At 40.0% G+C, this 12831-nt stretch overlaps 1 protein-coding gene across 1 annotated transcript in view; it reads left to right on the top strand.

The window, feature by feature from the left end:
* Nucleotides 1–12831, top strand: part of ZSCAN5A (zinc finger and SCAN domain containing 5A) — a 146976-nt gene that overhangs the window by 975 nt on the left and 133170 nt on the right. Inside the window, exon 2 of the mRNA NM_001322072.3 lies at nucleotides 3906–4069. The gene's annotated coding sequence lies outside the window, so the exon portion shown is untranslated. The remainder of the gene's footprint in view (nucleotides 1–3905; nucleotides 4070–12831) is intronic.

Raw genomic sequence — 12831 nt, 5'->3', positions numbered from 1 at the left:
TGCAGCCACGACCGCTTGACATCCTGGATTGAATCTATCTTCCTGCCTCAGCCTCCTGATTAGCTGGGACTACAGGTGTGCACCACCATGCCCGGCTAATTTTTTAAGTATAGGTGAGATCTCACTATGTTACCCAGGCTGGTCTCAAACTCGTGGCCTCAAGCGATCCTCCCACATTGACCTCCCAAAGTGCTGCGATTACAGGCATGAGCCACTGCAGCCAGCCACTTTAATATTCTTGATCTATAAATGTGACTTTTTTTCGGCTCGGGGAAGGGTTCTCTTATGAGTTGGTTTTAATACGTCACCAGTTTTTCTCATTAATGAGTTAAGTAAAATCTTCAATCTGTGTATTTTGCCTATTAGAGTGCCTTGTAATTTTTTCCTGATAGCTGAATATGATGTACTTGGTAAAATGAGCCGCATGATAGGTCTTTAGTAACATGGTGATAAGATTTGGTTGTGAGAGGGGAAGTGTTCTATGGTCTGCAAAAATAATATATAAACTTAGGCACATTAAAATTTTAAAGAGTTTAAGCAGATAGCAGTTCATGAATTGGGCATTGCCAGATCACATGCAGCTTAGGGCCTCTCTGAAGAGGCATGAGGGAAGGGCTTTTACAGGCTGAACTCAGAAACAAGGCAAAGAAAATACTTGATTGGTTAGAGTAGAGCCTTATTTGGATCATTCCAGTGGGAAGTCAATAGTAGGAGGTTAATTGGTGGTTTCTGATTGGTTAAGGCCAGTTACACTGAGTTGGGTTTGGGTTTGCTTAGGTTAAGAATTCAGGCTACTGGAGCCACCTCGGCCTAATGGCCTCCCAATTAATGGTTTCAACAAGTCTTAATGGTAAGGTTTCTTTTTTTTTTTTTTTTTTTTTGAGACAGAGTCTCGCTGTGTCACCCAGGCTGGAGTGCAATGGCACAATCTCGGCTCACTGCAAGCTCCGCCTCCTGCCTCAGCTTCCCGAGTAGCTGGGACTACAGGCATCCGCCACCACACCCAGCTAATTTTTTGTATTTTTAGTAGAGACGGGGTTTCACCATGTTAGCCAGGATGGTCTCGATCTCTGACCTCGTGATCCGCCCGCCTCGGCCTCCCAAAGGTTTCAGTCTCTTATCCTGAGCCCAGGGACTATGAATTTCACAAGTCCTTCCGAGTAAAACCCTTTCCCCTTAAGTGGGACAGGGTGGCAAGAGGGGACCAGAATTGTTTATTTTCCTTCTTCCAGGTCATTTGGACACTGATAAAACCCCAAGACGGTAGGCTCTGATAAAATAGTTTCTCTCCTGAGCATTGAACAGAATGCCGTGGTATATTTCAAAATGGCTACTCTTCCTCTTCCCCTGCCAGAACCAGCTGGGGACTTTTCTCAGATCTTCACTGTGAGAACCTGCTAGAGTCCTTGGAGATAAAACTCACGAAAGTGTAAAGATAGCTCTATGGCAAGGTCTTCTTGGAGTTTTTAATTCTCAGACTTAACCACATTCAGCTTCCAGCAATTCATCAATTAGAGTTCAGGTTTTCCTAACCTTGTTCTGGTTCCTGCAGAGGCACAAAGATTACTGCTTGTGAGTTTCTGCTCTGGTAAGTTATCATTCTCTGTGTCTGCCTGTCTCCAACTTTGGAGGCAGTAGCTTGCCTTGTGACCTCACTTATTTGACAGATCTAAGAAGAATTGCTGATTTTTCAGTTTGTTCAGCTTTTTATTTGTTGTTAGGATGGAGTGAGGACTTCCAGCTCCTTGCTGGACCAGAAACTGGAAGTCTCAGTAATGTCTTTAAACACGTTCACTTTTGTATCCATATGAGACTCATCTTTGAATAGCAGGTAGTGAATTTTAGCTGCTTAAGCCTTTTAACCATGTTGTATAGGGAAACTGCGTGTCTATTGTTGAGGAAATAAAAACAGAAACTTCCTGCCAACCCAGAAAACCTCGCTACAAAGGTAGAAGGGAAAGAAAACAGTTTTATTATTGAATAAGCATTACACCAGAATCCAGTATGTACCATAGGCAGTCGGCTAAAGAGATTGCTAAGACAGAAATCTCATCTTTTTTCTATAGCCAAACAAATACAACCCATTATGTACATTTCTCAAGATCAACAATAATTAGTCAAGTCATAGGAATTGGAGGGCCTCCACTACCAACCAGAGGGCCAAACCATGACTTTAAATGAAGTAATACATTCTGATAAGAACAAAGCGTTCTTGTTTATGTGTGATGTGTCTGTTCTGTTTCCAGGAATGGATGTTTTCTTTTAAAAATGGTTTATTGAAGTATCATGTACCTATCTTAAGTGTACAGCACGATGATGTGTATGCCCATGTAACCATCACCTAGAAGGTAAAGAATATTTCCATCACACTGGAAACTTCCCTTGAGCTCCTTCCCATTCATCACCCCCTTAGAAGAACCACTATTCTGATGTTTATCCCATAGATTCATTTTGCCAGTTCTTGGCCTTCTTAGAATAGTATACAATATGTATTCTTTTGCATCTGGCTTCTCTTAGCATAATGTTAGCAATTCATATGTGTAGGGTATACGTCAACAGTTCTTAGTAGCATTCCATTGCATGAATGTACCAGTTAGTTTATGCATTCACTCATTAATGGACATCCAGCTTGTTTTAAGTTTTTAACTGCTGTGAATAAAGCTGTATGAACATATCTCTCTATGGCCATGTGCACTCCTTTCTCTTGTAATAGAGGTAGGGTCATGGGATAGTTGTGTGTTTAATTTTTTAAAAAACTGTCAGTTTTCCAAAGTGGTTGTACCATATAACATGTTCACTACCAATGTATGATAATTCCAGTCATTCCACATCCTTTCCAAGACTTTATATTGTCGTTCTTTCAATTGTAGTCATTCTGATGTGTCTGTAGTAGTATCCTGTTTTCTTAGTGAAGCAAAAGTAATATCAATAGACAGTCTGATTTATTATTGGCCTACAATAGCTGAAAACCTATTTAGTTCTCAACTTTCTTGAGTAACAACATAAGTTCATATGGTAAGCTGTCTCTACATTGCTTGGTTCAAAAAGTCCTGCAGAGGACCACTGAGCTTTAAAAAGTGCTGTCACCCTTCAGGTTCTCTGTCTCCTCAATCTATTCTTTGCCTGACTTAAGGATTTTTTTCCTGCCCAGAAGCTCTCCAGCTGTTCATCCCCTCCTCCATGTTCTAGCTTTACTGGATGGATGGATTGCCTGTGATGGGAGGGGTTGCTGCAGAGGTCTCTGAAATGCCTTTGAGACCTTTCTGCCATTGTCTTTGCTATCAGCTCTTGTTTGCATTTTACTTATGCAAATTTCTCTATCAAGTGGTTGCTTAGCAGCTCACTTGAATTCTTCTCTTGAAAATAGGCTTTTCTCTTCTACCACATGGCCAGGTTGCAAATTTTCCAAACTACTATGGTCTGCTTCCTCTTTAAATAGAATATAATTTCCAACCTTAGGTCATTTATTTGCTCACACATCTGAACATAGGCTGTTAGACACAGCCATGCCACATCTTGAACACTTTGCTGCTTAGAAATTTCTTCTGCCAAATAACCTAAATCATCACTCTCAAGTTCAAATGTTCACAGAGTCCTAAAGGATGGACACAATTCAACCAAGTTCTTTCCTAAGGCATAACACATGTCACGTTTGTTCCAGTTCCCAATAAGTTCCTCATTTCCATCTGACACCTCAGCAGCCAGGACGTCACTGTCCATATTACTATTAGCATTTTGGTCACAACCACTTAACAGTCTCTAAGAAATTCCAAACTTCTTTCATCTTCCTGTCTTCTTCTGAGCCCTCCAAACTCTTCCAATCTTTGCCCATTACCCAGTTTTGAAGTTGCTTCTGCATTTTCAGATATCTTTATAGCAATACTCCACTGGCTCTTATGTCCTAGGATGAGAACCACAAGCATGAGAACATGAGGATAAATACACTTTGGGGAAAAAGAAAACAGACAGAGGCAGCAGAGAAGGAAGACGAGAAGAAGAGAAAAAGAGAAGTAGGAAGAGGATGAATTCATTTCGCTTATCTGGCAAATGTGTAATCTGAGTAATAGAGGTGAGTGTTTCTAAGAGGATGCTGTTCAGAGACAAATACACTGTTTAAAATCCATTAGATCTGTGTGCTCTTGTCATATCCCTCACCTGAAAACTAGAGAAATATGGGCAGGTAACCACTGAAATATATAAACAGCAAGGAGCATTAAAAATGCAGAGGTACTGAGAGTTACAGGAATGTATAACTTTGGGACATTAATCATTTTAGAAAATGCTTTTATGAAGTAGTAAATTTTTTTCTTTTTTCTTGAGTAGTTGTATTTTAAAATATGTTTGGATTACTAAAAAGTTGTAAAAATGGTACAGGCAGTTCCCGTATACATGTTCTTCAGCGTTGGCTGATGTTACCTTTTTTTTTTTTTTTTGAGGCAGAGTCTCACTCTGTCGCCCAGGCTGGAGTGCAGTGGCATGATCTTGGCTCACTGCAAGCTCTGCTTCCCTGGTTCACACCATTCTCCTGCCTCAGCCTCCCAAGTAGCTGAGACTACAGGTGCCTGCCACTATACCTGGCTAATTTTTTTGTATTTTTCAGTAGAGACGGGGTTTTACCGTGTTAGCCAGGATGGTCTTAATCTCCTGACCTCGTGATCTGCCCTCCTGGGCCTCCCAAAGTGCTAGGATTACAGGCGTGAGCCACCGCGTCCGGCCATCTTTTTTATTTTATTTTATTTTATTTATTGAGATGGAGCCTCACTCTGTTGCCTTTTTGTGCAATCTCGGCTCACTGCAACCTCTGCCTCCTGGGCTCAAGTGATTCTTTTGCCTCAGCCTCCCAAGTAGCTGGGATTACAGGCGCATGCCTCCATGCCCGGCTGATTCTTTGTACTGTCAGTAGAGGTGGGGGTCTCGCCACGTTGGCCAAGATGGTCTCAAACCCCTGACCTCAGGTGATCTGCCCACCTTGGCCTCCCAAAGTGCTGGAATTACAGGCACAAGCCATAGTGCCCGGCATAATGTTACTTTCATACTTAAGTGTGGTATATCTGTGAACCTTAAAAATTCACATGGGTACAATATTTATTAAAGAAATTACAGACACATTTTCAGTGGGTTTTTTAATTTTTTTTTTTTTTTTTTTGAGACGGAGTCTCACTCTGTCGCCCAGGCTAGAGTGCAGTGGCACAATCTTGGCTCACTGCAAGCTCCGCCTCCCAGGTTCATGCCATTCTTCTGCCTCAGCCTCCCGAGTAGCTGGGACTACAGGTGCCCGCCACCCCGCCCAGCTAATTTTTTGTATTTTTTAATAGAGATGGGGTTTCACCGTGTTAGCCAGGATGGTCTCGATCTCCTGACCTCATGATCTGCCCTCCTTGGCCTCCCAAAGTGCTGGGATTACAGGTGTGAGCCACCGCACCCTGCCTTTTTTTTGTTTTTTTAAGTTCCAGAGACCATGTGCAGGATATGCAGGTTTGTTACATAGGTAAATGCGTGCCATGGTGGTTTGCTGCACCTATCAACCCATCACCTAGGTATTAAACCTGGCATGCATTAGCTATTTCTTTTGATACTCTCCTCCCAACCATGCCCTCCTCTGACAGGCCACAGTGTGTGTGTTCCCCTCCCTGTTTCCATGTGTTCTCATTGTTCAGCTCCCACTTATAAGTGAGAACATGCAGTGTTTGATTTCCTGTTCCTGTGTCAGTTTGCTGAGGATAATGTCTTTCAGCTCCATCCATGTCCCTGCAAAGGACATGATCTTGTTCCTTTTTATGGCTGCATAGTACTCCATGGTGTATTTGTACCACATTTTCTTTATCCAGTCTATCACTGATGGGCATTTGGGTTGATTTCGTGTCTTTGCAATTGTGAATAGTGTTACAATGAACATACACATGCATGTATTTTTAAAATAGAATGATTTATATTCCTTTGGGTATATACCCCATAATGGGATTGCTGGGTCAAATGGTATTTCTGGTTCTAAATCTTTCAGGAATCACCACACTGTCTTTCACAATGGTTGAATTAATTTACATTCCCACAAACAGTGTAAAAGCATTCCTATTTCTCTGCAACCTCGCCAGCATCTGTTGCTTCTTGGCTTTTTAATAATTGCCATTCTGACTGGTGTGAGATGGTATCTCATTGTGGTTTTCATTGGCATTTCTCCAGTGATCATTGGCATTTCTCCAGTGATCAGTGATATTCAGCTTTTTTTTCACATTTGTTGGCCACATGTATGTCTTCTTCTAAGAAGTGTCTGTTCATGTCCTTTGCCCATTTTTTAATGGCATTTTGTTTTTTGTAAATTTGCTGAAGTTCCTTATGGATGCTGAATATTAGACCTTTGTCGGATGGATATGTTGCAAAAATTTTCTTCCATGCTGTAGGTTGCTTATTCACTCTGATGATAGTTTTCTTTTGCTGTGCAGAAGCTCTTTGGTTTAATTAGATCTTAGTTGTCAATTTTTGCTTCTGCTGCAATTGGTTTTAGAGATTTCATCATAAAATCTTTGCCCATGCTTATGTGTCCTGTATGGTATTGCCTAGATTTTCTTCTAGAGTTTCTATAGTTTTTATTTTTTTTTTACATATAAGTCTTTAATCCATCTAGAGTTAATTTTTGTATAAGGTGTAATAAAGGGTCCAGTTTCAATTTTCTGCATGTGACTAGCCAGTTCTCCCAACATCATTTTTAAATAGGGAATCCTTTCCCCATTGCTGGTTTTTGTCAGGTTTGTTGAAGATCAGATGGTAGTTTAGTGGGAATAGCATTAAAGCTATAAACTGCTTTGGGCAGTATGGCTGTTTTCATGATATTGACTCTTCCTGTCCATGAGCATGGAATGTTTTTCCATTTGTTTGTGTCCTCGCTGATTTCCTTGAGCAGTAATTTGTAGTTCTCCTTGAAGAGGTCCTTCACTTCCCCTTATTAGCTGTATTTCTAGGTGTTTTATTTTCTCTGTGGCAATTGTGAATGAGAATTTATTCATGATTTGGCTCGCTGCTTGTCTGTTCTTGGTTTATAGAAGTGCTTTTAATTTCTGCACATTGGTTTTGTATCCTGAGACTTTGCTGAAGTTGCTTATCAGCTTAAGAAGTTTTTGGGCTGAGTTGATGGGGTTTTCTAGATACAGCATCATGTCATCTGCAAACAAAGACAAGTTGACTTCTTCTCTTCCTATTTGAATACCCTTTATTTCTTTGTCTTGCCTGATTTCCTTTGCCAGAATTTCCAATACTGTGTTGAATAAGAGTGGTGAGAGAGGGCATCCTTTTCTTGTGCCCGTTTTCAAGGGGAGTGCTTCCAGCTTTTGCCCATTCACTATGATACTGGCTGTCGGTTTGTCATAAATGGCTCTTATTTTGGATATGTGCCATCAATACCTAGTTTATTGAGAGTTTTTATCATGAAGAGATGTTGAATTTTATCAAAGGCCTTTTCTGCATCTGTTAAGATAGTGTTGTGTTTTTTGTCTCTAGTTCTGTTTATGTGATGAATTATGTTTATTGATTTCATGTATTGAACCAGCCTTGCATCCCAGGAATGAAGCCAACTTGTTCATGGTGGATAAGCTTTTTGATGTGCTGCTGGATTTGGTTTGCCAGTATTTTATTGAGGATTTTGACATCGATGTTCATCAGGGGTATTGGCAAGAAGTTTTATTTTTTTGTTGTATATCTCTGCCAGGTTTGGTATCAGAATGATGCTGGCCTCATAAAATGAGTTAAGGAGGAGTCTCTTCTTTTCGATTGTTTGGAATAGTTACAGAAGAAATGTACCAGCTCCTCTTTGCACCTCCAGTAGAATTCAGCTGTAAATCCATCTGGTCCTGGGCTTTTTTTGGTTTGTAGGTTATTAATTACTGCCTCAATTTCAGAACTTGTTATTGGTCTATTCAGGGATTCAACTTCTTCCTGGTTGAGTCTTGGGAGGGTGTATGTGTCCAGGAATGTGTCCATTTATTCTAGAGTTTCTGATTGATTTGCATAGAAGTGTTTATCATTTTCTCTGACAGTAGTTTGTATCTCTGTGGGGTCAGTGGTAATGTCATCATTATCATTTTTGATTGTGTTTATTTGAATCTTGTCTTTTTTTCTTTATTAGTCTAGCTAATGGTCTATCTATTTTATTGATTTTTTTTTTCAAAGAACCAGCTCCTGGATTTGTCGATTTTTTTGAAGGGTGTTTTGTGTCTCTTTCTTCTTCAGTTGTGCTCTGTGCTTGGTTATTCCTTGTCTTCTGCTAACTCTGAAATTTATTTGCTCTTGGTTCTCTGGTACTTTTAGTTGTGATGTTAGGGTGTCCATTTGAGATCTTTCTAGCTTTTTGTTGGATCTATTTAGTGCTGTAAATTTCCCTCTTAACACTGCTTTAGCTGCATCCCAGAGAGTCTGGTATGTTGTCTCTTCGTTCTCATTAGTTTCAAAGAATTTCTTGGTTTCTGCCTCAGTTTTATTATTTATCCAGAAGTCATGCAGGAGCAGGTTGTTCAATTTCCATGTAGTTACGTGTTTTTGAGTGAATTTCTTAATCTTGAGTTCTAATTTGATTGTGCTGTGGACTGAGAGACTGTTATGATTTCAGTTCTTTTGCATTTGCTGAGCAGTGGTTTACTTCTAATTATGTGATCAATTTTAGAGTAAGTGCCATGTGGTACTGAGAAAAATGTATGTTCTGTTGGTTTTGGGTGGAGACTTATGTAGATCTCTGTCAGGTCCAGTTGATCCAGGGCTGAGTTCAAGTCCTGAATATCTTTCTAAATTTTCTTTCTCGATGATCTGTCTAATATTGGCAGTGAGGTATTAAAGTCTCCCGCTATTATTGGGTGGGTATTCAAGTCTCTTTGTATGTCTTTAAAAATTTGTTTTATGGGCTGGGCGTGGAGGCTCACGCCTGTAATCCCAGCGCTTTGGGAGGCTGAGGCGGGTGGATCACTTGAGGTCAGGAGTCCGAGACCAGCCTGGCCTACGTGGTGAAACCCTGCCTCTACTCAAAATACAAAAATTAGACGGGTATGGTAGTGGGCGCCTGTAATCCTAGCTACTTGAGAGGCTGAAGCACAAGAGTCACTTGATCCTGAAAAGTGGAGGTTGCAGTAAGCTGAGATCGCACCACTGCAGTACAGCCTGTGAGATAGAGAGAGATTCAGTCCTAATAAAACAAAATAAAAATAACTTGTTTTATGAATCTGGGTGCTCCTGTATTGGGTGAATATATATTTATGATAGTTGGCTCTTTTTGCTGAATTAAAGTTTTTACCATTACCTAATGCCCTTCTTTGTCTTTTTTGACCTTTCTTGGTTTAAAGTCTGTTTTGCCAGAGACTAGGATTGCAACCCCTGCTTGTTTCTGCTTTCCATTTGCTTGGTAAATTTTCCTCCATCCGTTTACTTTGAGCCTAGGTGTATCTTTGCACGTGAGATGGGTCTCTTGAATACAGCAGTCCAATGGGTCTTGATTCTTTATCCAATTTTTTAGTCTTTGTCTTTTACTGGGGGCATTTAGCCCATTCACACATAAGGTTAATATTGTTATGTGTGAATTTGATCCTGTCATCATGATGCTGGCTGGTTAATTTTGCAGACTTGTTAATCTAGTTGCTTCATGGTGTCGTTGGTCTGTGTACTTCAGGGTGTTTTTGTAGTTTTGAAGAGCACTTGTCAAATTTTTTTATCAAATGTCCTTCAATTTGAATTTGATTTTTTTTCATGTGGACAGAAGGATTAAGATCTAGTATTTGACAGTACAGTAGAACTATAGCTAACAATATTTTGTGGTATAGTTGCTGGGGAAGAGGAATTGGAATGTTCCCAACATAAAGATGGGTGAAGGTTTGGGGTGAGGGAGTCCCAGTTGCCCTGGTTTATTGGTATACATTGTATGCATGTATCAAAATACTGCGTGTACCAACAAAACATGTGTAAGTATTATGTAATGATAAAGTCTGTGTCAGGGGTCTCTGTACACTTATGGCTGAGGGCTGGGCTTCGCATGCATGAGGCAAGATCACCAGACATTTACCAAATAGCAGTGATATGTTTTATTATTCCTCACTCTCCAAACTTGTTAACACACAGCAGTGACTATGAACAGTTCCTTAACACCCTTGGCATCCAGCTGAGTCATTGAATGTAGCCAGACAAAAACAGACACGTCACAGACAGTGGAGAAAGAGGAGAAGAAGGCCCCCTGACTTCTCATCCAAAAAATGGAGGCCTAACACAAATGGAAAATTGTCTTTAAATTGCTGAAGAATAAAAAATACTTAATGCTATATCCTATGAAAATATCCTTTAAATATGAGGATAAAAATCAAGGTAATCTTAGAAACATGCCAAGCTATGAGAATTTTTATTGCCTACAACCTACATGACAACCAGTTCTAAAGGAACTCCTTCAGTCTGCAGGAATCATAGTGCAGGTCCAGGGATGAACCTGAGAAGCAGTAAAGGAGTATATATAAAAGACAACATTTTCTTTCCTGATGGAATTGCTGTAAAACACTACCGACTCTTTAAAGAACAATAACCCCACAGGCAGTTTTTATACTGCAGGCAAAAGTAAAAATTATAAGAATTGCACAAAGAAGGATATGGGGTAAATGGAATCAGTTATACACTCTTGGTTTTCTCCTCACTGAGACTGAAGAGGAAATTAATGAATTTTACAATATGTGAAGCCAGAAAATTAACTTTCCCCTCAGGGCTTAGTTATAAGGTAGCGCCCCCGTCCCCACCCCGTAGTAGAAGTTAGAGAAGGATATTAACAGCCTGTGCTCCTTCTGTGCTCCATGAGCCTCATCTATACTCCCCAGTTTCACATTCCTTAGAGCTCTGTGAATTCTTGCTTACCTCCCCAGCACAGCTGCAAGGTCATAAGATTGATACGTATATATTACACAACCATGTATTCCCAAGGATGTAAGACATGGAGTAACAACTGCCTTTCTTCTCGCTTCTGTAAGTACGCTTCCTGCATCACGTAATTCCCACCACTGATTGTTTAAAAGGTGGCTGCTCTCTTTGTTCGGGGCTCAGACTTTCCTGGACGCTAGTCCTACTGAGCCAGGTGCTCACCTTAATAAAGGCTCTCCTGAACTCTGTTCAGTCTCTCCCATCTCTGATTGTCCCGCTACAAGACAGTTACCAAATCCTCCATCTGCATAACTCCATCAGCAAACCCTGCATTTACCTTCTGGGACAATGTGGTACTTTCCCTACATTTTTCTCCCTGTCTCATCCTTTCATCTATTTATTGCATATCTTAAAGTAGATGTTTTTCACCAACTACACACTGGTATCTGGTATTAATGAGGATGTCAGTAAATAATATTGGCACCACAGAAAATAAGTGTATGTCTGTTCTTTGTCTTCCCAAATACTAATCTGTAAATTTCTTTAGGTTGTGACTTGAGGTCATCATAATCATTACCTTCTTCCCAATCCTGATTCAAACCTTGACCCATAATAGGTGCTTAATACCTAAACATATGAAGGAATAAAGAATGGATGCATATTCTAAGTTAATAAATAATCAGGAACAAATACATGGAAGGATCAGTACTGCCAGTTTAAACACACACAAACTGCGCTTCAAACATCTTGCACTATTTGCCAATAAACACAGTCTGGAGCCAAAGTTCAAGTTGGAATTTTCTGTTATAAATCATTTTATCATAATTGTTTTACAGTCATAATTGTTTTACAGAGCTTGGTCTTGGGCTATTGTTGTTACTTTATTTTTTAATTTAGTTTTTCCAGTATTTTCTTGTATCTCTACAATGTTTTAAGCATCAGCTAAGTCAGTGTAAAACAGTAAAAATTGGGAAAAAAATTGACATGATCTTCAAAATCATGGAGTATACAGTAAAATAAATGAACCTGACAGTAAATAAGCAAATAGAAATACAGCACAGTATTAATACATTGTGACACTGTAATATTAGAACATTTTGATAATACTGTTACTACCACATCACCTGAGACATTTGGAGGCAGTTTTATACAATTTTGATAGTTTTGGTAAGTTTTGATTTAAGCAATAATCTATCATGAGAAAAAGTTCACACTTACTGCCCAGGGTTACTCAATGCTAGAGGCTTCATGTGGAGCTTCTGAAATTATGTATGGGAGACCCGTGGAGCTGTCAATTGGGAACAAAATGCCCCACATCATGATTACTATCCTCAATAGAAAAACCACGTTGGGTTTCAAATATCAGTGTCACACCCACATTTCCTCTGAAATTCAGGTGCTGGTTTACAGCTAAGATGCTTTCCACATGAGCATATTAATGTTGGGGTCCTCAGTTTTGGGGATGTAGCCAGGATTTACTTAAATGAAGGCTGAGGATTTCCTGGGGAAATACCAGAAACATTGTCTTGTATATGACACAGTAGATTGGAACAAGATTTTCTAATATGCATAGTTTAGGGAATCGCATTTTAACTCTGTCCCTAAAACACAGTCATTCAGCCGTCAGAAAGTGGTCCACGCTGACATTCCATTATTAACTCACCTTGGCCTTGGAATTCAAGAATGACTTGGGGAAGAGCTGAATGGGAAGGTGGGAGGTGTAGAGGTGTGGGCCCTTCTGACTCTCTAAACCTGCTTTCTTACGTTTAACTTCTATCCATGGTGAACGATCCCAGGGAACAACAGATTGGACCCAACTAGGATCTCCCTTGGAGTGGATCAGACTGATGATTTCCACTATCCAAAAGCTTCCTGAATAAAAAAGAAGAAGGTGTCACCTACTTCAATGTGACATTGACCCCACCACTACATCTTAAAGACCCTGTGTTATTTCAGCAATAATGC

The sequence above is a fragment of the Homo sapiens genome, chromosome 19, assembly GCF_000001405.40.
Source record: "Homo sapiens chromosome 19, GRCh38.p14 Primary Assembly".
NCBI classification, from domain to species: domain Eukaryota; kingdom Metazoa; phylum Chordata; class Mammalia; order Primates; family Hominidae; genus Homo; species Homo sapiens.
The sequence above is the reverse complement of the archived record's forward strand: the minus strand, read 5'-3'. Positions and strand labels throughout refer to the sequence as shown.